Here is a 20,430-nt window from a genome sequence, read left to right on the forward strand (position 1 = left end):
TTTGAGAAGTTTTGTTTCAAAGAAATGGGATGATAGCTGGTGGGGAAATGGATCAAAGAACGTGTTTTTAAAATGGGAGATGAAGCATGTGTAAAGAAGCAGGTTGATGTGAATGATCCAGTAGGGAGCATAAAACTAATGATGTAAGAGACAGAAGGAAGCATTATTGGAGGGATGTCCTGGAATAGACAAGAGGAGGTGGAATCTAGTACCTAAGTGGAGAAGGAGATGTCAGCTTTAGGAGCATGGCAAGTTCACTAGTGGTAACTGGCAGGAAGTCAAAGTGTGAGGTGTATATGCTAGTAAACAGGTAGAAGTGATAGTGAGATTTATGAAATCGTCTTCTGATTGCTTCATTGTTCTCAGTGAAATAGAAAGCAAGATGATCAAATGAGTGTGAGGATGGGGCAACAGGCAGTGGGAGTCTGAGGACAGAGAAGAAGGTATGAAATAGTTGTCTAGAGAGAAGAGTGACTAGACTGTGACCTAAAGTATTGTCAGACAATGTTAAAGTCATGAATTGGAAATGAGGCCCATCAGCATGGCTATGAATTTTTCTCCAGCCGCATTCAACTTACAGCTGCAGTGTGAATAAGCAGAGTTGGATTTAGACCTGAAACAAGAAGGGCAAGAGAATAATTATAATAATTGATCTTAGAGTTTAAGCTGGAGGACGGAAGACATACAGGATGAGGTCAGTGAAAAGGTGGTCTGATCAATGAATTGGAAGATTCAGGGTACTGAAGGTCTCCTGGGGTCGAGTCCTAGGGAGAATAAGCTAGAGGGCTGAGAGACAGTGGTTTGAGAATGACCTGCAAGGGATTAGTCAGAATCCCATTCATGAATCCAAGGTGGTCTCTAATGAGGTAGACAGAGGATAGGGTAAGGTCATTGCAGGGGAGGAGGTCAATGAGCCAACAGGCCAGGATGGGAAGGATAGTCTATGTGTATATTGAAATCACTGAGAGATAAGACAAGAGAGAAGTGAGAATGAGGCAGGAGCTAAAAAACATGAGAAATGAGAGGGAATGACATGACAGTAGCAACGTTTTAGGGCAATAGGTGGTCCAAACCATTGACAGGAGACTCAAAGCTGGATATGTATTCTAGGGCCAAGGTATATCACCACTACCTTTCGATAAAATCAGTTAGTGGGAAGGCAGACACCTTTAGAATTTTATATTTCTTAATGTCACAGACCCTGGTATTATACATCTCCCCAAGGGTACACATACATTAGGAAACATGTATTTTTTAAAATTGAAAGGTGAGTAGTGATATTATTCTTTGAGTTCATTGTGAAGTGTTATTTTCTTTTGGGGTTCCATTCTGCTTTGTTTTAAGGCATGGACTAGAAACAGTTGAAAAGAATAATATACAATTTCAACTTTGGAGCCTGAAATATTCTGGCTATAATTTTTTTTTCCTAAAAAAAGGGAGAACAAGGAGAGCTATATAAAATCTCTGAAATGTTTTGTCAACTAGAGGCAGAAATAAAGATGTGGAGAAAGAGGGAGAGGGAGAAAAAGGAAAGAAAAATGAAAAATGAGTAAGGGAAGGAAGAACGATATGGCTTCTTGGGAAGAGTACAATTTAGCCACTAATCTGCACATCACAGAATTGTAAAGTGTTTAAATTCTCTGGGAAACAGAAAAACATGATGTTTTAAAAGATAAACTCAATATTAGATGACTGAAAAGAGCCTGTGAATTGTATAGTCTTGTTTTCCTTGGACTCCTCAAATATTCTTTTTCAGTTCTTGTTTTGAAAGGGATCCCTCTCTCTTGACTTAAATTCTTTAAACAACATTGTTTATATAGTGATTTAACATACAGAACTATTTTTCTTAGAACTAGGCCACCCAGTTTAGAAAGCTGAGGGCCTGAATACAATATGTTACTTTCGTAAGATTCAAAAGAATGTTGGTAAACAAGAGAGGGAGATGTACACTTTGCTAATTTCTTCTGTTTCCCATGGAAAGTTTATCAAACTGTTTGTGAAGGAAATGGTCAAAAAGAAGTTTTAAGTGATTAACCAAGTAGCTTTACAGCTGCAGTCGTCTTTATTGTATATAAATATAGATAAGAGAGGAGAAAAATATTTGAGTTACCAGGGCATGGGAAATGATTTACCTTGGCAAAGTTAATAAATTATGATTTAATCATTTTCTACTAATGTAGCACTCATAGAAAGAAAATATACATTATTGTGCCTGGTGAAACTGTAAAAGGCTAAAAGGTCTATGTAGAGTCCTGGCCTGATAGACTAGCCCCAGAGTGTTTCAGCCAGGGGTGAGCAGAGCCACAGGCTTGTGACTGGACCTGTGTCCTGGCTAGTGTCAAGCATCCCCACCAGTGAATGCGATACAGGAGCAAAATGATGCAACTGCTGTTACAGTGTTTATGTTACACAAAACCAAAATACCAGTATTTATACCAGACTCTTATTTTAAAAGTGTTCAGAATTCAGGAAATACAACAGTGAAACTAAGTAATACGTTTTAAATGCAAATTTTAAAATAGATATTATAAAATGTTTCTAATATCTAAGTGTTAGACATAATCACTCTAGCCTAATTTAGATAAAAATTTTTAAGTATTAGAAAAGAAATTGATACTACAGTAAATGAATAAGTTGGTTAATCATGGAAAATTGAAAATGAAAAAGAGTGCATTGATGATGTCATCATTACCATAAGAGTATTTTTTGGAGCAAATTTTTTCCAGCTGCTATAAAAGCTTCCAGTTTCTACACTGGTGGCAGAGAGGTGAACAGAGTTTTGCTCTAATTCCTATTATTTTCTTGAGTTGTCATTTTAGGATAATCTCTCTGTGATTACTTTTTTTTTTTAGAAATAACTTTTTATGGATGGCAAACTGTAGTTTTTGTTTCAAGTAAAGCATTTCTGGTTTTAACTGTATCATCTTTAATTTATCCTGTTTGAATATAGATTAGGTACAACTGTATCAACCTAATTAATTACTGTCCCATTCACATTCCACTTTATTGAACGGTCTTTGAAGTAGGAGTAAGATTTATGTATGTGATAGAAGGTTTAGAAGCTGGGTGTAGTGGCTCATGCCTGTGATGCCAGCACTATGGGGGGCCAAAGTGGGAGAATCACCTGAGGCTGGAGTTTGTGTCCAGCGTGGACAAGGTAGTGAGACCCTGTGTGTTAGGTCATTCTTGAATTGCTATAAAAAAATACTTGAGATTGGGTAATTTATAAAGAAAAAAGTGTAATTGGTTCAGCAGGCTTTACAGGAAGCATAGTGTGGCATCTGCTCATCTTCTGGGGAGACTTAAGGAAGCTTACAATCATGGCGGAAGGCAAAGGGGCAACAGGCACATGGCAAGAGGAGGAGAGAGAGGGAGGTGCCACACACTTAAGTGACCAGATCTTGTGAGAACTCACTCACTGTCAAGAGGACAACATCAAGGGGATAGTGCTAAACCATTCATGAGAAGCTGCCCCCATGATCCAGTCATCTCCCACCAGGCTCCACCTCGAACACTGGGGATTACATTTCAACATGAGATTTGAGCAGGGACAAATATCCAACCATATCACCGTGTCTCTACAAAGAAATTTAAAAATCAGCCAGGCATGGTGCTGCATACCTGTAGTCCTAGCTACTCAGGAGGCTGAGATGGGAGGATCGCTTGAGCCCAGGAGTTGGAGCTTCCAGTGAGTTATGATTGCCACTGGCACTCCAGCTTGGGTGACATAGTGACACACCCTGTCGAAAAAAAAGCTTTGGGTTGTCCATTGATATTTTCTCTTTCCTTTGGAGGAGTATAGAGTTGCTCCTTCATTCTTTTCAAATTTTAATATAGTGTATAACTCTTTGCATATGTTTCAAGATGATAATTCAGCACCTTTTACAGTACTGGATAATCATAGTAAAATAAATATACCAGAATTTCATTATTTTAACATACACCATATACTGAACTGCCAGAATACTGAGAGAAGATATTACAATCACTAGTTGAAACCAGGAAGCCAGCTTCAGTCATCAAATCCAAACAAACAGTGAGCACAGGAAGAGCAGTAAGTGCCTATTTATTGACCACCTTTTGTGTGTCAGGGAGGTGATAGATGTTTAGTGGTGAATGAAACAGGCATGGATCTGTGTCCAGAATTGGTTCCATCTGGTGGGTTCTTGGTCTCACTGACTTCAAGAATGAAACGACGGACCCTCGCGATGAGTGTTCTTAAAGATGGTGTGTGCAGAGTTTGTTCCTTCAGATGTTCAGAAGGGTCCGGAGTTTCTTCCTTCCGGTGGGTTCGTGGTCTCGCTTGATTTCAGGAGTGAAGCCGCAGACCTTCTCAGTGAGTGCTACAGGTCATAAAGGTAGTGCGGACCCAAAGAGTGAGCAGCAGCAAGATGTGTTGTGAAGAGTGAAAGAACAAAGCTTCCACAGCGTGGAAGGCGACCCAAGCAGGTTGCCGCTGCTGGCTCTGGCGGTCAGCTTTTATTCCTTTATTTGGCCCCGCCCACATCCTGCTGATTGGTGTGTTTACAATCCTCTAGCTAGGCAGAAAAGTTTTCCAACTCCCCACCCGACCCAGAAGCCCAGCTGGCTTCACCTCTCAGATCCTGCTCAGGGAGCTTAGAATGAAGAAGGCAGAAGCAGGAGACTAGCCAGGAAGGGCGGAAGCCAGGCAGACAGTGCTGCAAACTCACATGTAAAAAACAAGGTGGGAGGAAAGGGAGAAGGTCCAAGGTAATTGCCCAAAAAGGGATGCCGGTCTGGAGATGGGTGGATGCATATTATACAGAAACAAGTAGAAATCTTAATGCCCTTTCAAAAATATAAGTATAAATTTAGGTGGTGAGTTGTTTCAACAAGATACATGATCCTTGTTTGGGGTAGGGGACAGTAAAGCTCTCAAAAGCATTCTTGGGACAGTGGAGGAAATTAAAATAGGGACTGGATAGTAAATGTTTAAAAGAATTACATGAATTTTCTTAGGTGTGATAAATGGCATTAAAGTATAGAAAACAGCATTCTTATTCTCAGGAAAGGAATTTTAGTATTTAGAAGTCAAGTGTTAAGGTATTTCCAACTTACCTTCACAAAGTTCAACTACAATGCCAAAAACAAACTTATGGGGAGAGAGGGAGGAAAGAAAATATAGCAAACTTTAACTAGGTGGAATTATGTAGCTATTTGATTGTACTATGCTTTCTATGTATGTAGGAAAATTTGTATAATAAAAAGTAGGGGGTCAAAAGATAAGCATGTGTATTAGTCCATTTTCTCACTGCTGATAAAGACATAGCTGAGACTGGGAAATTTACAAAAGAAAGAGGTTTAATGGACTTACAGTTCCACGTGGCTGGGGAGGCCTCACAATCTTGGTGGAAGGCAAGGAGGAGCAAGTCACATCTTACATGGATGGCAGCAGGCAAAGAGAGACAGCTTGTAAATGGAAACTCCCATTTTTAAAACCATCAGATCTTATGAGACTTATTCACTATCACAAGAATAGCATGGGAAAGACCCACCCCCATGATTCAGTGATCTCCCACCAGGTTCCTTCCACAACACATGGGAATTATGGGAGCTTACAAGATGAGATATGGGTGGGGACACAGAGCCAAACCATATCAGCATCCTACTCTCCTTTTGACAATGGATGAGGCAGCTGAAAGGAATACCAAGGAGAAAGGGGAAGAATGCAGGGTGTGGCCTATTATGACTTTGGGCAAACGCTTAACCTCTTTGAGCCTGAGTTTTCTTCCTCTGCTTCACAGATAAATATCTACATACAGGGGTGATATGAAGATTAATTAAATAAGTTGAAATGTAGTGGTTAAGAGTGGTAAGTCCAAATCTCAAACTGCACTTAGTTACTAAATAACCTTGGGAAAGTTACTTTTGTGCCCAGTTTCCTTATCTGTAAAACTGACATAATAATAGTGCCTACCTCCCAGAATTGTTGTGAAGCACAGAATTGTTCTAAAGAGCGAAGCTTAGCATATATTAAGTATTTGATAAATATTGGCTCTCATTATTTTTGCTATCTAGGACTCAGCATCCTGAAAATAGAGAATACCCCTTCTTTTCACGTGCCCATTGGACATTCACAAAAATTGAGAATTTATTATGCCCATAAAAAAACCTCAATATATTGCAAAAAGTAGAGTGTGAGCAGCATGTTCTGAGAACAGTTCTGTAATTGCTGACATAAGTAACTCTCTAAATCAACTCTTGGGTCAAAAAGGAAATAAATAAATTACAGAACACCTTCAAAATAACAATAATGGAAACCTCATATACTAGAACTTATGGTCTGCAACTAAAGGACTTTTTAGTATTACTTGTGAATATTGATACAAAAATACTGGATAAAATATGAGTAAACAAGATCCACCAACACACTCAATCATTTACCACAACCCACTGGACATGCCCATGCCCTTTCAAAAATATAAGTATATGATCCTTGTTTGGGGTAGGGGACAGGAAAACTCTCAAAAGCATTCTTGGGACAGTGGAGGAAATTAAAATATGGACTGGATAGTAAATGTTTTTCCAACAATTTTGTTTTAGCAAATTACATCCTTATCACAACACCCTATAAACCAGGTACTATCATTGGCCCTGTTCAACAGATAAGAAAACTGAGGTGCAGAAATATATAGATATAGATATAGCTAGATAAAGATAGATAGATAGATAGATATAGATATCTATCTATCTTTTTTTTTTTTTTTTTTTTTTTTTTTTTTTTTGAGACGGAGTCTCCCTCTGTTGCCCATGCTGGAGTGCAGTGGCGCGATCTCGGCTCACTGCAAGCTCCGCCGTCCGGGTTCACGCCATTCTCCTGCCTCAGCCTCCCAAGTAGCTGGTACTACAGGCTCCCACCACCACGCCTGGCTAATTTTTTTGTATTTTTTTTAGTACAGACGGGGTTTCACCGTGTTAGCCAGGATGTTCTCAATCTCCTGACCTCGTGATCCGCCCGCCTCAGCCTCCCAAAGTGCTGGGATTACAGGCATGAGCCACCGCACCCGGCCGAGGTGCAGAAATGTTAATTTGCAGATGGACACATAGGAAATGGCGAGGCGAAGAAATGAACCCAGGCAATCTGAGCCTATAAAGCTCTTCCTTTTAAACTCTACGGGGTACTCTCTGAGCCATTCTCAGCTACAAAAGAGGGTTAGTAATTCTTATCTCTTGTGGTGGACAAGGTAAGATACGGAGTTGAGTGGGGAGAGGCATTGATGCTATCTTTATCTGTTTCTGTATTGTTGAGTTGTTATAATGAGCATGTATTATTCATGTATTTTTTCATCAAGAAAATGTTTTTTAGGGGCCTATAAAAGTGCCTGGCACAAAGAAGCTCCCAATAAAAACATTATTATGTCTGAAAGGAAATTCAGAATTTCCATTTGACTTAATAGGAATTCATCAGCTCCGGAAGCTGGGTGAAGAAAAGAAACAAGATAGGGCAACAGCTAGAGGAGAATTCAGGTGAGAGGTTTCTACTTTCAAATGAGAAGGGCTTATACATCCTAAAGTAAGGGGTGGGAACAGAAGGAGGGAGAAGGAATTGGGAGCTGGGGGAAGAGTGGTCCTAAAGCCTCCCTAGATGAATTTAATTATTTGGGGGAAGGTTACTAGTGACCAATTGTTGACATATATATAAGCCCCATTTCATACATGCCATGAATAATAGGCCTCCCTGGGGTAACAAAAATTTAAAGATCATTCTGGAAAATGAGACAGGAATTAAAAGAACTCTATGGCTTGCTTTCTTTATCTACCTGGTTCTGGCAATGTGAGAATAGGTTTTCTGAAGAGGAGCCAATAGTTTGTTTTTCCACTTGTGGGTTACAATGGTAAAATGATTGTTGGCAAAAGAACATCTTTTCAAGCAGCTTCCCTTGGTGTAGGTCAGAGGGGCAACAAGCAGAGTTATTTCTGCAGCTGGGAAAAAGGTTCAGAGCTATCTTCCTAGAATCGGCTCTTGTTTCAGAATCTAAAATAGATTTGAAATATTGTGCTATTTGGGAATTGGGGCCTATTCATGCTAAGCACATCTGTGGGTAGCTGTTGAAATTCAAATAAATTCAAATAAAGTCCAAGTAATGCTCATACTACACTTACCAATTTCAAATTTTAAAAATACATATATACAATACCTGCACCCCATTTGGTATCACTACCTAAGACACAATATGGAAAGCCTTGATTTTCTGCCAGCCATAGCTGCTTTGAACCTGAACCACAACATTTAATTCCTTTGAAAATGCCCCTTCCTCCCTACCTGAACTTTTCAACTGAGATTCATTTTCAAAAGTTTAAATATGAACTATAGCAAATAGTTCTATATTTTGGTTTTGATCATTTGACAGACTTTAGTAGCTGCAATGAGGTTGTTGGACTACTTAAGTCATAAAGCCAGGATTGAATAAATGCATTTTCCTTCTCGTCATCTTTCTGATTTCAGTAAATACAGTTTACTTAGGTGTGGTGATTAAGGAAACCTGGTCGATTTATTTATACACTATTCCATTCCATATTCAAGGTGTCTTTTAAAAGGCAAAGTAAGGGAACTTGCCTTTTTAAATTTAACCATGACTTTCTTATAGTGATCTACCCAATGTATGGAAAGAAGTAGAACTGGCTGGGTGCAGTGACTGACACCTGTAATCCCAGCAAGTTGGGAGGCTGAGACAGGAAGATCACTTGAGCCCAGGAGTTCGAAACCAGCCTGGGCAACATAGTGAGACCCAGTCTCTACCAAAAAAAAAAAAAAAAAAAAATTAGCTGGGAATGGTGGCATGCGTCTGGAGTCCCAGCTACTTGGGAGGCTGAGGTGGGAGGATGCTTGAGCCCAGGAGGTTAAGGCTGCAGTGAGCCGTGTTGGCAGCACTGCACTCCAGCCTGGAGCAAGACCCCTTTCTCAAACAAACAATTATTTTAAGGTTGTGAGTTTTTCTTTTTTTTCCTTAATAGTTAAAAATTTGAAAGGCATTTAAGTGACATATTCATGTCATAACCTGAGAGTTTACAATGTTATAAGTAGGTAACACATTAAGCACATTATATGAATTATCTCTTAATTTAAACCTCATAATTACCCAATGAAGTTTGTGTCATCATTTCCATCTTACTTATAAATGTATCCAAGGCTTACAAATAAGTAATTTGTCCAAGGTCACACACTCAGCCAGGAGTGAAACTGTGCCCATTATTCAAATTATTAACTGTTTTGATTTTTATTATTATTTGTAGAGACAGGGGCTCACTATGTTGCCCAGGCTAGTCTTGAATTCTTGGCCTTAAGCGATTATTCCAGGTCAGCCTCCCAAAGTGCTGGGATTACAGGCATGAGCCACTGTGCCCAGCCTGAGCTGTTAACTCTTAATCTAAACAATGCCTTTTACATGAGAAACAGTAAACAAGATGGCAAGGGATGGCAAAGAGGATACTGAAATATGTTAGGAGCTACATACAAGAAATAAATTCACAGTTAAAAGATGAAGACCTTTATCTAAATCCAGGCAAACTGCAAACTTTAAAAAGAATTATGATAAGAATAAAGCATCAGGAAGGAGAAAGACAAACTGATGACACTGATATCCCAGAATAAGGCCCCATAGACAAAGGTATAACCATCATCACATATGGTTGGTGACTCCCACAGCGTGTTCCTCACCTTCCCCAGTGCCTTTGGGAAATGTGAGTGTTCTCTGTAAAAGTTCTGGCATGGTGAAAGATCGTAACTCTAGGAAGCTGAATAACTTACCATTTGGCACTAATATCCCTGATTTCTTCTGTTTAACTTTTTTGCTCTCATCTCTATGTTGAAAAATGCAATAGATGTTAAAATCAGTAATAATGTTCAATAACTAGTACAGCTGTTCCCTTGTTCCACCTCAATTTTATTTATAGAAAAGCCATTATTCCACTATTCTATATCAATAACAATTTTCATTTGTTTTTCTACGTGTATAATATGAATTATATTAAATAACAAATTTTCCAGTTTCCATAATAATAATTCTAATGACTATATAACAGTCTGTTGAGTTGATGCACTGTAATTTATACTGGGTATTTTGTTTCCAGTTTTTTGCTATTATAAATATCCTTCCAAGAATTTATTTAGGCATCTAATTTACTTAAATTTCTTCATATGCAAATAGTATGTTTATGTCCTCTGACCATTTATCTCTTGAGGTTTTAATATTTTTGAAGATTTGGATAAGTCCTTAATTTGTTATGTATACTAACTTCTTCCCTGTTTCCTAATTATGTTTCCCTTCTTGTGTGTTTCAATCATTGTTAGTTTTTTTATGTTAAAATCACTTTTTCTTGATGTTTTTAAGCTATTTTTTTGTGTGATTTCCATTGTTGCCATAAGCTTTTCAAAAATGCTGTCTAAAGATTTCACAGATATTTGATGCATATTTCTCCTAGTTTGCTAAAAATTAAAGGATATAGTTAACTCTTTAATGCACTATGATCTTACTCTGCTATGTACCATAAGTGCTAATTTAAATTACTTTTTGTTTTTGTGTTTTTTAGCCAGTTATCCTGGCAATTATTAAAACATAATTAGCCAGACATGGTGGCACACATCTGTAGTCCCACCTGTTTGGGAGGCTGAAGTGGGAAGATCATTTGAGCTCAGTAGACGAGGCTACAGTGAGCCATGATCACACAACTACACTCCAGCCTGGGTGACAAAGCGAGATATGTCTCAAAATTTTAAAAATAAAGATAAAAAATAAAAATGAATACAATGAATAAAATGTAATTACTAACTTATTTTTTCCTAATTTTATGATAGTATATGTTGAATTTATTTCTACATGTCTTACACTGCTTTATTCAATTAGTGTAATAACTTATACTTTAGGTTTTAGGATTTCCTGGGGAAATTCTGGAGACTAGAGCAGCATCATAAGTCACACTTTCTTTGTTAGTGTGGAATTTCAATATTTAACAAACAGTAAATAACTTCACTTGGTGAACATTGTTTTTCTGTATAATATATATCTAAATCTGTTTATCTTGTTTTGTATAGTCCATTAAAGCTTTGTACTTTTCTTTACATATGGCACATACAATTCTTTATCATTTTCTTTATAAATGTCATGGTTTGAAACCACGTTTGCAGAGATGATAAAAGTGAGAGACTGAGGCAAGATGCTTCTTGCCTCACAGGTGGTGCTCCTTGCTCATTCCAGGGCATAGGCCAAGCTCACTATGGAAGAAATTTAGTTTATAGTTTGACTTTGAACCAAGGATGATAATAGTCCCTCCCTAAGACTGATCCCCTCCTTGTCCGGGACTGAAGCCACCTTTGTAAAACTAATGAAAGGCCACAAGATTAGTATTATGGGAGGAGCCTCAATTCTGCTCAAATGTAGGCATAGTTTCTATAATCCCTTACTGCTCAGTACTCATGTGGCCAGAGGTCACAAGATTTAAGACTTCCCCAATTGCGCCCATAGATAACATCACTATTGTAGAACCTACGATTGGGTTTTTGAGATGTTTTTTCACTTTTGTTTTCTGGCAACTGACTGACCATATCCAACCAGTGACTCATGACTCAACCAGTGTGTCCTGTGGCCCCCCACCCAAAGGAGGACTCAGCACACTGGGATCATTTTCCATACCCCTGTGATTTCATCCCAAATCAATCATCGGCACCCATTCCCTATCCCTCTGTGCACCAAATTATCCATACAAACCCTAGCCCCTTATCAGAGAGACTGATTTGAGTGATAACCCCAGTCCTTCTGCTTGGCAGCCTTGCATTAATTAAACTCTTTAACTGCAATACCAGGACCTCAGTAAAGTGGTTTTTTCTGTGTCCCCTCCACCCTTTTTTGTGGCTATGTTAAATGGGATTTCTTCTCTTTTTGTTAAACTAGTGGTTACCACAATAAAGAAATCCCCTAATTATAGTGAATTCACTATAAACCTAGTCACTTTGATAAACTCACATAGGCTAATAAGCAAATTTCTTAGGATTTTTAGACATGCATTGCTTTCTGCAAATAATCATAGTTTTCTCTCACCCCTTAATGTATCATTCTGTTGTCACGAAGTGAATGCAGTTGCCATTATTCCTGTATTAGAGTGCTAGGCTGGAAAGGCAAGAAACATACATGTTACTTTCAGTTCCTCAACTGAGGAAGCCATTGATGAAGCACCTTCTTTTCATGGATCAAGCACCATGCTAAACACTTCATATCGACCATCTTGCCCAAGGCTGAGAACAAGCCTACCAAGTATACAATTATTAAATATCAGTGTTGAGGAAACTGAAGTTTAGCAGATGCAGGCTGCCCATGTTAGGCCCCAAGAAGCAATAAAAAATGGAACACTGAGGGGCCTAACTATGGGGGTCTGTGAATGAAAGGCTGTGAGTCTGTGTCTCTGGGCTCCTGTGACTGGCAGGTTTATCTCTACCCAGGAGCTGCATTGACCATGAACTTTGGCCAGTGATCTATGAGGAACTAGGGAGGGATCTCAGAGCTGAATCCGCTCGCCTGCATCTGTGTCTTGTGCATATGCTTCACACTTCCTGTTTCTAGGTCATAGTAAGTCTAATGTGAAAGTAATCCTGAAGGTAGTCTATGTTCTTGTTTTCACTGCTCTCCAACCCATCAGCCCTTTGAGGTTAATTTATCTCAGATCTTAGAAATAGCAAACGATGGAGTAAGTGGCTTCCTTCACGACCAGTGGTCTTTCCATTGTACCAATGATGTCCTCATCCAAATGTAAGTCAGATAAGATGATCCAATTTTGACAGGCTGACTGTTCCTGAATATGCATTATACAAATTCTCACAGAGGCTATACTGTCCACATCCTTGAGTTGCTTATATTGCTTTGCACATAACAAGTATTCAATAAATATTTGTTGATGCAGAATGAATGAATGAATGAGGCAAAGACAACAGTCTTAATGCTTTTCCTACAAGAGAGACTTTCAATGATAGAATACAAACTCATGTGGTATCTCCTAAAAATCTCACCATTTCACATTTCAAATGTGGAAGCTTCTATAAAGACTGTATTTGTCATGAGCCTTTTCACAAGAAGATGTTTAGTACCAGGTCAGCTTGTTTTCATCTTGTTTTCAAAGAATTGGGGTTAGGAAAGCAGGAAACTAGGAAGGATCAAGGTGGGAACAGTGGTAGGCAGGCTTTTCTCTGACAAAGTTGTTTGGGTTATTTTTATCTTTCTGCTTCTGTTACAGCAACAATATGAGAAAACTGACTGTTCAAATTTAATAAATAGAGTCTGTCCAAACCCAATTTTGAACAAATGACAAACTATGGTGCACATGCATTAACATTTCTGTTTGGGTATGCAATGGGAAACTAAGTCTTATGTTCTCGTCTGTAATTTAAACATACAAAGTTTTAAATGTTCCATTAGAAGATATACTACAATACTAGTACATTAATTGAGTGTTCTTTGTTATGCCAAAAAATTCCAAAGGAAGTTACACAGCCCCTAGAAGGCATAGAATCTGTAGATTTTGTAATTATGGTTTTTAAACTTAAAATCTCATTGAAGTCATTAGTTAACATTTCTAAACTTTTTGTTTGTTTTTGTTTTAGACAGATTCTGGCTCTGTTGCCAGGCTGGAGTGCAGTGGGACAGTCTCACCTCACTACAACCTCTGCCTCCTGGATTCAAGCAATTCTCCTGCCTCAGCCTCCCGATTAGCTAAGATTACAGGTGCCCACCACTACGCCCATCTAATTTTTTATATTTTTAGTAGAGATGGCATTTCACCATGTTTGCCAGGCTGGTCGTGAACTCCTGACCTCAGGTGATTCACCTGCCTCGACCTGCCAGTGTTGGGATTACAGGCATGAGCCCTCGCACCTGGCCACATTTCTAAACTTTTATGCCTGAATAATTCTGAACAGATATTCCAATAACCTTCCTGCCCTCCACCTCATCCCAGCCAAAGCCGGGAGAGAGGGAAGACCTATACTACCAATAGTTACAAACAATTATTTTTGGAATTAAAAACAGGAATTTGCACCATGAACAAGTGTCTCGTTTTGTCTTCTGAGCTTCTCAAAAACCACCATTATATTGAGACTATAAAATTGTTCTTTAGGCTGGGCAAGATGGCTTATGCCTGTTGTATTAGTCTGTTTTCACACCGCTGATAAAGACATACCTGAGACTGAGCAATTTACAAAAGAAAGAGGTTTATAATGGACTTACAGTTTCACGTGGCTGGGGAAGCCTCATAATTATGGTGGAAGGCAAGGAGGAGCAGTCACATCTTACATGGATGGCAGCAGGCAAGAAAAGAGAGCTTGTGCAGTAAAACTCCCCCTTATAATAACCATCAGATCTCGTGAGACTTACCATTGCAAGAACAGGGCAGGAAAGACCTGCCCCTATAATTCAATCACCTCCCACCAGGTTCCTCCTATGACACATGAGAGTTGTGGAGATGAGATTTGGTAGGGGACACAGCCAAACCATATCAACTGTAATCCCAGCACTTTGGGAGGCTGAGGTGGGAGGATTGCTTGAGCCCAGAGGTTTAAGACCAGCCTGGGCAACATAGTGAGCCCATTTCTACAAAATAAAATAAAAAATTAACCAGGTACGGTGGTGCACACCTGTGGTCCCAGCTAGTGGGAGGATCACTTGAGCCTGAAAGGCCAAGGCTGCAGTGAGCCATGGTCACACCACTGCCCTCAGGCTGGGTGACAGAGCAAGACTCCATCTCAAAAAAAAAAAAAAAAAAAAAAAAAAAAGTTCTCTGAAACTAAAAGAAAAATCTAGGGAAATTAAACATTTTTTATTGCAAATCACTTAACCTTAGAATGTCAAAGATTTTCCCTAAGTTTTTATATAAAAAGAAGCATGGGAGAGAGCCATAGGGAATCAAAATTTATGAGCCACAATATTTGCAAGAAGAGAAAACATTACATCAGCCATGCACGGTTTCTCCAACATGGATACAAAGCAGAATGATGTAATAGCAGCTGCAGTTTTGTGCTACCACATTAAACAGTGGTGCTTTTGATATCATTTAACTAAACCAAAATATGCAGTTCAACCTCACATAGCTCAAAATACTCAGTTCAACCTGAGATGGTCCTGAATTAACTAGACCATGTTTCAGGCTTCTGAATATTATTTTTAAGTTCTGTGTAAGGTAAGGTATAAAAGAAGAAAAAAAACCTCCTTGCCTCAATAACTTTGGTTTTAATAAATGCACCAATAAATTTATTTGAACCCTGAGTTAAAATGATTCAGCTCTAGTGGATGACCAAATTGAGGCTGCTTTTCTTTATTTATTCAAGTTAGATTTCATGTAAACCCTTAAATTGTATGAATTCAACTATCATTTCTAAAGCAGCCAGACTAATATGAACCTAAATCTGAGTATACTTTTCCAGAAACAGCTGACTATTTAGGTCTCGTTATCTGTCCTGTATCTCACTATCTTCTTCCCAACCACAGGAAACTGAGGATTGGCTACTGACTATTTGAAATTGGCTATTTCATAGAGGTAAAAATCTCATCAGTATGCTGGCAACAGTCTTTAATTTTGAAAGAGGAATAGTCCCACTTGACTATTTCTAGCTTCCAGTATTAGGTCAGGAGAGAAAACATTTCTTTAGAACCTTTTCCATAAAATCAGGGAATAATTTAGGAATGGGGAAATCTTCTAGTGTTTTATTTCAGCTCTCCTAGGGATGTGCTTCCCAAGGCTTTGACAGGGAGAAACTGATAGCTATCAGTGTGAATCAGCTTTGTGTCTAACAATTTCCTTTCTAAGGAACATCAAGCATAGAGAAATGATTAAGCATATTTATATAATCTAACATATTAAGTGAATTACATTTAGGTGAAATTGGAAAGTCAGCACGTATTGCTTTATAATGAACATCCAAGCCCTGCTTGATTTGCCTAATGGACTATTTGATAAGGGCAAAATACATTCTGATTTAATGGAATTTCTAATTAGTTAATATTTAGTCAAAGTGCAACATTAAGCGTATCCCTAATTATATGTATGATAGGAGTTTACAAAGCAATTGGTATGGGTTTTATATTTATATTTATATGTCATATATCTTTTTCTGAAAAAAAGTTGAAACTAGAACTTAAATAGCTTACATGTTTATCCTTTCTATCCTTGTTAGGAAAAATTCCTTTAAAGAGATTACAATTATTACTGTACCCCGATAATCATTATTATCCTTGTGCTTAATTTTCATTCCTCTAACCTATCCTTTACCTTGAGTTTTTATCCCAAAATACAACTTCATCCATGTCTTTACAGAAAAAGTAAAAGTCCTTAGCAAGCTGTGCAAGACCCTTCCCCTCTGGCCATTGTCCCAATAGCATATTTTAGTTAATAAAAGTCTCTCACTCAAAATGTCTGGTGTCTCCATGTTGTTAGTGTAGGTATTTCAGACAGCATTCTCCTTTGTTAAACATCCTACATACATTAGTCTAATAGTTGTCAATGTTATAACACTTATTTACACACTGGGGGAAAAATTACCCTTGCATTACCATGATGGAGTTACTAAACCCACTGAGAAGACTCAATACCATGGGTAGAATCTTCATTAGTGTTTAACTCTGGATGTCATTACCTCCCAGCTAGAGACATTGTCAATAAAATTTCAGCATTTATTGTAATGACTTTGACTTTGATCATGAAAACCACATTTCATCTTTTTCTTTGGGTTCAGATTGTTCTTTCACACACACACACACACACACACACACACACACACACACACACCACACACAAGAAAAATTGTTTTTTTCCTTTAGGGACTTTCTCAAACCCTTTCATAATCTTTTGTTAATTTTAAATTGATATTTACTGGAGAAATTTGAAAATAATTAAAAAAGGAAAGAATGAAAGCCATTCTTATTTCACGGGGTAACCACTATTATCCCTTTGATGCACATTTCCCAAATATTTTCCTGTCCATATGTTATTTTCTCACAAAAGTGGGGTCATCCGCTACATCCTGTTTTGCAACTTGCTTTTTAAAAAAGCATAATACCATATTACAATCATCTTTATATATTAGTAAAAATTCATCTTCATAAATTTAATGGCTATTATTTCTATTTATGGAAATAACATATAAAAAATCCTAATTATTAGACATTTAAATTGCTTGAAACACTTTCCTGTTACGTACAATGCTGTAATGACCATTCTTGAGGCAAAATCTTTACCTACATCCTTGATTATTAGGATAGAATTTTAGGAGCAGGATCGCTGAATCAAAGTGCATGCTCATTTTATTTGTTTACCTATTTAATAAGGCAACACAGGCAAGATGTACAAAAATTCAGAAGGACCAATGGGAGATTCAGTGACAAATAACTCTCCCTCCTTCCTTTTCCCTCCTAGGAGACAGCTACTTTTAATAGTTTCCATTTATTTTTCCAGAGATATTTAATGCATTTATATAAACACACACAAATCCTTTAATATGCCTATTAAGAAATTAGTAAAATGGGCCGGGTGCAGTGACTCACATCTGCAATCCCAGCACTTTGGGAGGTTGAGGCGGGTGGATCATGAGGTCAGGAGTTCGAGACCAGCCTGACCAACATGGTGAAACCCCGTCTCTACTAAAAATACAAAAATTAGCCAGGTGTGGTGGCATGCGCCTGTAATCCCAGCTACTCAGGAGGCTGAGGCAGGAGAATCTGTTGTACTTGGGAGGCGGAGGTTGCAGTGAGCCACAGTCGTGCTACTGCACCCCAGCCTGGGCGATAGAGAGAGACTCCGTCTTAAAAAAAAAAATGATTTCAATAATGAAAATTGTTTTATAATTTCATGTGCTAGATAATCATAGGCACAAAGCTTTCTACAATTAGGCAACATTCATTATTTCAGTTCTATATTATTTCTTAATTTATATTTTACCTTACCTTTATGTAATAATATATTACTTGTCATTTACCATGATATTTTTATCTTCATTGAATACTTTAAAAACATTTTATTATAGGAAGTTTCAAATGTACCCAAAAAGAGAATGCGATAAATCCCCAAGTCTCCAACTACTATGCACATTTTAATTAATTAATTTATTTATTTATGTATTTATTTATGACGGAGTCTCGCTCTGTCACCCAGGCTGGACTCCAGTGGCTCACTCGGCTCACTGCAAGCTCTGCCTCCCAGGTTCATGCCATTCTCCCGCCTCAGCCTCCTGAGTAGCTGGGACTACAGGCGCCCGCCACCATGCCGAGCTAATTTTTTTGTGTTTTTAGTAGAGACAGGGTTTCACCGTGTTAGCCAGGATGGTCTCAATCTCCTGACCTCGTGATCCGCCCGCCTCGGACTCCCAAATTGCTGGGATTACAGGCGTCAGCCACCGCACCTAGCCCATTTTAAGTCTTTCAATAAACAATGCCAGGTTTTTCTCTATGAAAGGTTTTTTAGTGAGACTTACCCTATCTTCATTTTGTTGAGTTGAATTTTATAGCTGCTGAAGCCAGGGTTACATCTTTTAGCAAGAATAAATTGGTGGTTGGAATAGAAAAAGTATAGTAACTTTTGTTGCACTGTGACAATAGATTTTATCTGGCATGGTAATGCCAATCAACTTGGCATCATTTCCTGGCTCAGCGAGTTGGAATAATTATGAGAATCCATTCAGAGTCTGTGGGGAAAACTGCTAGGATTGATTAGCAATGTCTACCATTGGAAAAGTAGAGAATTGTTGGCTTTTATGACATAGACAGTTTGCCGATTCTGCTTTAGCTTACATGCATAACAGCATACTTTTTTTTAAACCATTCTTTTGCTTAGTAGCCATAAAAATCAATTTGGCTTATTTAAAAGTTTCATAATGAAACATACCTATTTACCTATAGGTTTCTTTTGCCAGATATTATATTAACAACTTTTCTTAAAAATAATTTTATTTTTTGAAAGGAACTAAATAATGTCAGTATATAGATGCTGCTGTACTATCATTAAGGAAGCATGTGCTGAGGTTGTGTTCTCAGAAACAAGGAAGAATGACATTTGTCCAGTCATGGAGCTCTGTGGCTCCATGCAGGGCCATGAATTTGTTGATGTCTGTGATGTACAGTCATGGAACAGAGAGAAGCTAACTGACCCATGATAAGTTAAACCTCAAATCTTACCACTTTTAATGCCACAGTAAAATTTTCTAAACTGGTCAACCACAACAAAAGTATATTTAAAAACTAATATGAAGTATATCAAGAATTTAAGAACTGCTGTTTCATGAACCTATGGAATGGCAGATCTGAAAGTCATCGTGGAGATCGTTTAGACCAGGAGCTTGCAAACGATAGCCAGTGGGCCATATCCAGCCCACTGCTTGTTTTTGTAAATCAAGTTGTACTGGAATACTGCCAGGCTTATTTGTTTATGTATTATCTGTGGCTGCTTGTGCACTATAGTGACCCAGTTGAGTAAATGCAACAAGGCTATATGGACCACAAGCCTACCACATATACCGAGGCTATATGAACCACAATGCCTAACACATTTACTATCTGGCCTTTTATTGAAAAAGTTTGCCAACTCCCGATTTTAACCAACTTTTCATTTTAGAATTATGGAAATTAGAAATCACAGAGGTTGTGTAACTTGTTTGGGATAATTCTACCACTTGAGAAAATAGCCAACAGAATTCCCAGAACCCCCAGTGGCAGGATCCAGAGCTGCAGTCTCAAGAGCTGCAGTCTCTATCTGAAAGAGAGCATTTTCACGTCTCTGGAAGCCCTACCCTACCTTGTCAGCCATGCTGCCACTCCCTCCCTCCCCACTTCACACACTTAATGCAATAAAGGCAAAATGAATACATGGATGAAAACTCTCCTGTATTCATAGAATATTTCTCACATTCCTTCATCATTCCAAGTATTATACGGAATTGTAATCATTTGCCTTTCCCACTAGAACATGAGTGCACTGGGGACAGGGACAATGCCATATTTGTCTTTGTATCCCAGATGCTTAGCACAGATTACAGAATAGGTATCTATTACCTGTTTGTTAAATGCTTTGGATTTGCTATCTTATCTTCTTCCATGCCCATTTTAAGATAAACTTCAACTACAGGGAAGATAAATGCAAGTTGTGGTTTGTAATTTTCATCATTCCTGACCAAGACCCACCACTGAGACCCAACAATAGGAGATATCCAGAACCAAACACCATGATAGGAAAGTTACAAATCTGTTTTTTTCATTGCACCTACTAAGGAATGGCCCAAAGCCTCCAAGGCAATCTTGACCTGCATCCCTGGCAAACAGATGAGAACCTGATGTAAGTCAGGGATAATAAGAGTGAAGAAGAGAGAGATATGAAAGATTATTAAAATCAAGAGGACATCATGGTTGATTGACTGTCCAGGGGGTGGTTGAAAGTCTGTGACTG

At 38.3% G+C, this 20,430-nt stretch overlaps 1 protein-coding gene and 1 long non-coding RNA gene across 8 annotated transcripts in view, besides 1 other annotated feature; one reads left to right on the forward strand and one right to left on the reverse strand.

Annotated features, from left to right (window-relative positions):
- LOC105374610 (uncharacterized) overlaps positions 1-19,761 on the reverse strand; it is a 40,619-nt gene extending 20,858 nt beyond the window's left edge. Inside the window, exons 1-3 of one of the 3 annotated variants that reach the window (XR_940091.3) lie at positions 18,467-19,761; positions 12,057-12,125; positions 9,422-9,822 (exon numbers count right to left, since the gene is read on the reverse strand). This is a non-coding gene — a long non-coding RNA (uncharacterized LOC105374610). Of the gene's footprint in view, positions 1-9,421; positions 12,126-18,466 lie in introns of those variants that run through there. The other 2 variants (XR_007086320.1, XR_007086321.1) reach the window with 2 other exon arrangements.
- The window catches only part of ACYP2 (acylphosphatase 2), a 334,188-nt gene that overhangs the window by 288,765 nt on the left and 24,993 nt on the right, over positions 1-20,430 (forward strand). The window contains exon 4 of one of the 5 annotated variants that reach the window (NM_001320589.2): positions 7,419-7,488. The exons of the other annotated variants lie outside the window; for them this stretch is intronic. Coding sequence (NP_001307518.1) covers positions 7,419-7,446 — 28 coding nt within the window. The 3' untranslated portion in view covers positions 7,447-7,488. The remainder of the gene's footprint in view (positions 1-7,418; positions 7,489-20,430) is intronic. 5 annotated transcript variants of the gene reach the window in all.
- Positions 12,120-12,169: an enhancer, noted in NCBI's record as "active region_15758". NCBI's record gives its function as "activates an Ori minimal core promoter by ATAC-STARR-seq in GM12878 lymphoblastoid cells {active_cell/tissue: GM12878}" and the evidence as "EXISTENCE:reporter gene assay evidence [ECO:0000049][PMID:35858748]".

The sequence above is a fragment of the Homo sapiens genome, chromosome 2 (assembly GCF_000001405.40).
Source record: "Homo sapiens chromosome 2, GRCh38.p14 Primary Assembly".
In the NCBI taxonomy this organism is placed as follows: domain Eukaryota; kingdom Metazoa; phylum Chordata; class Mammalia; order Primates; family Hominidae; genus Homo; species Homo sapiens.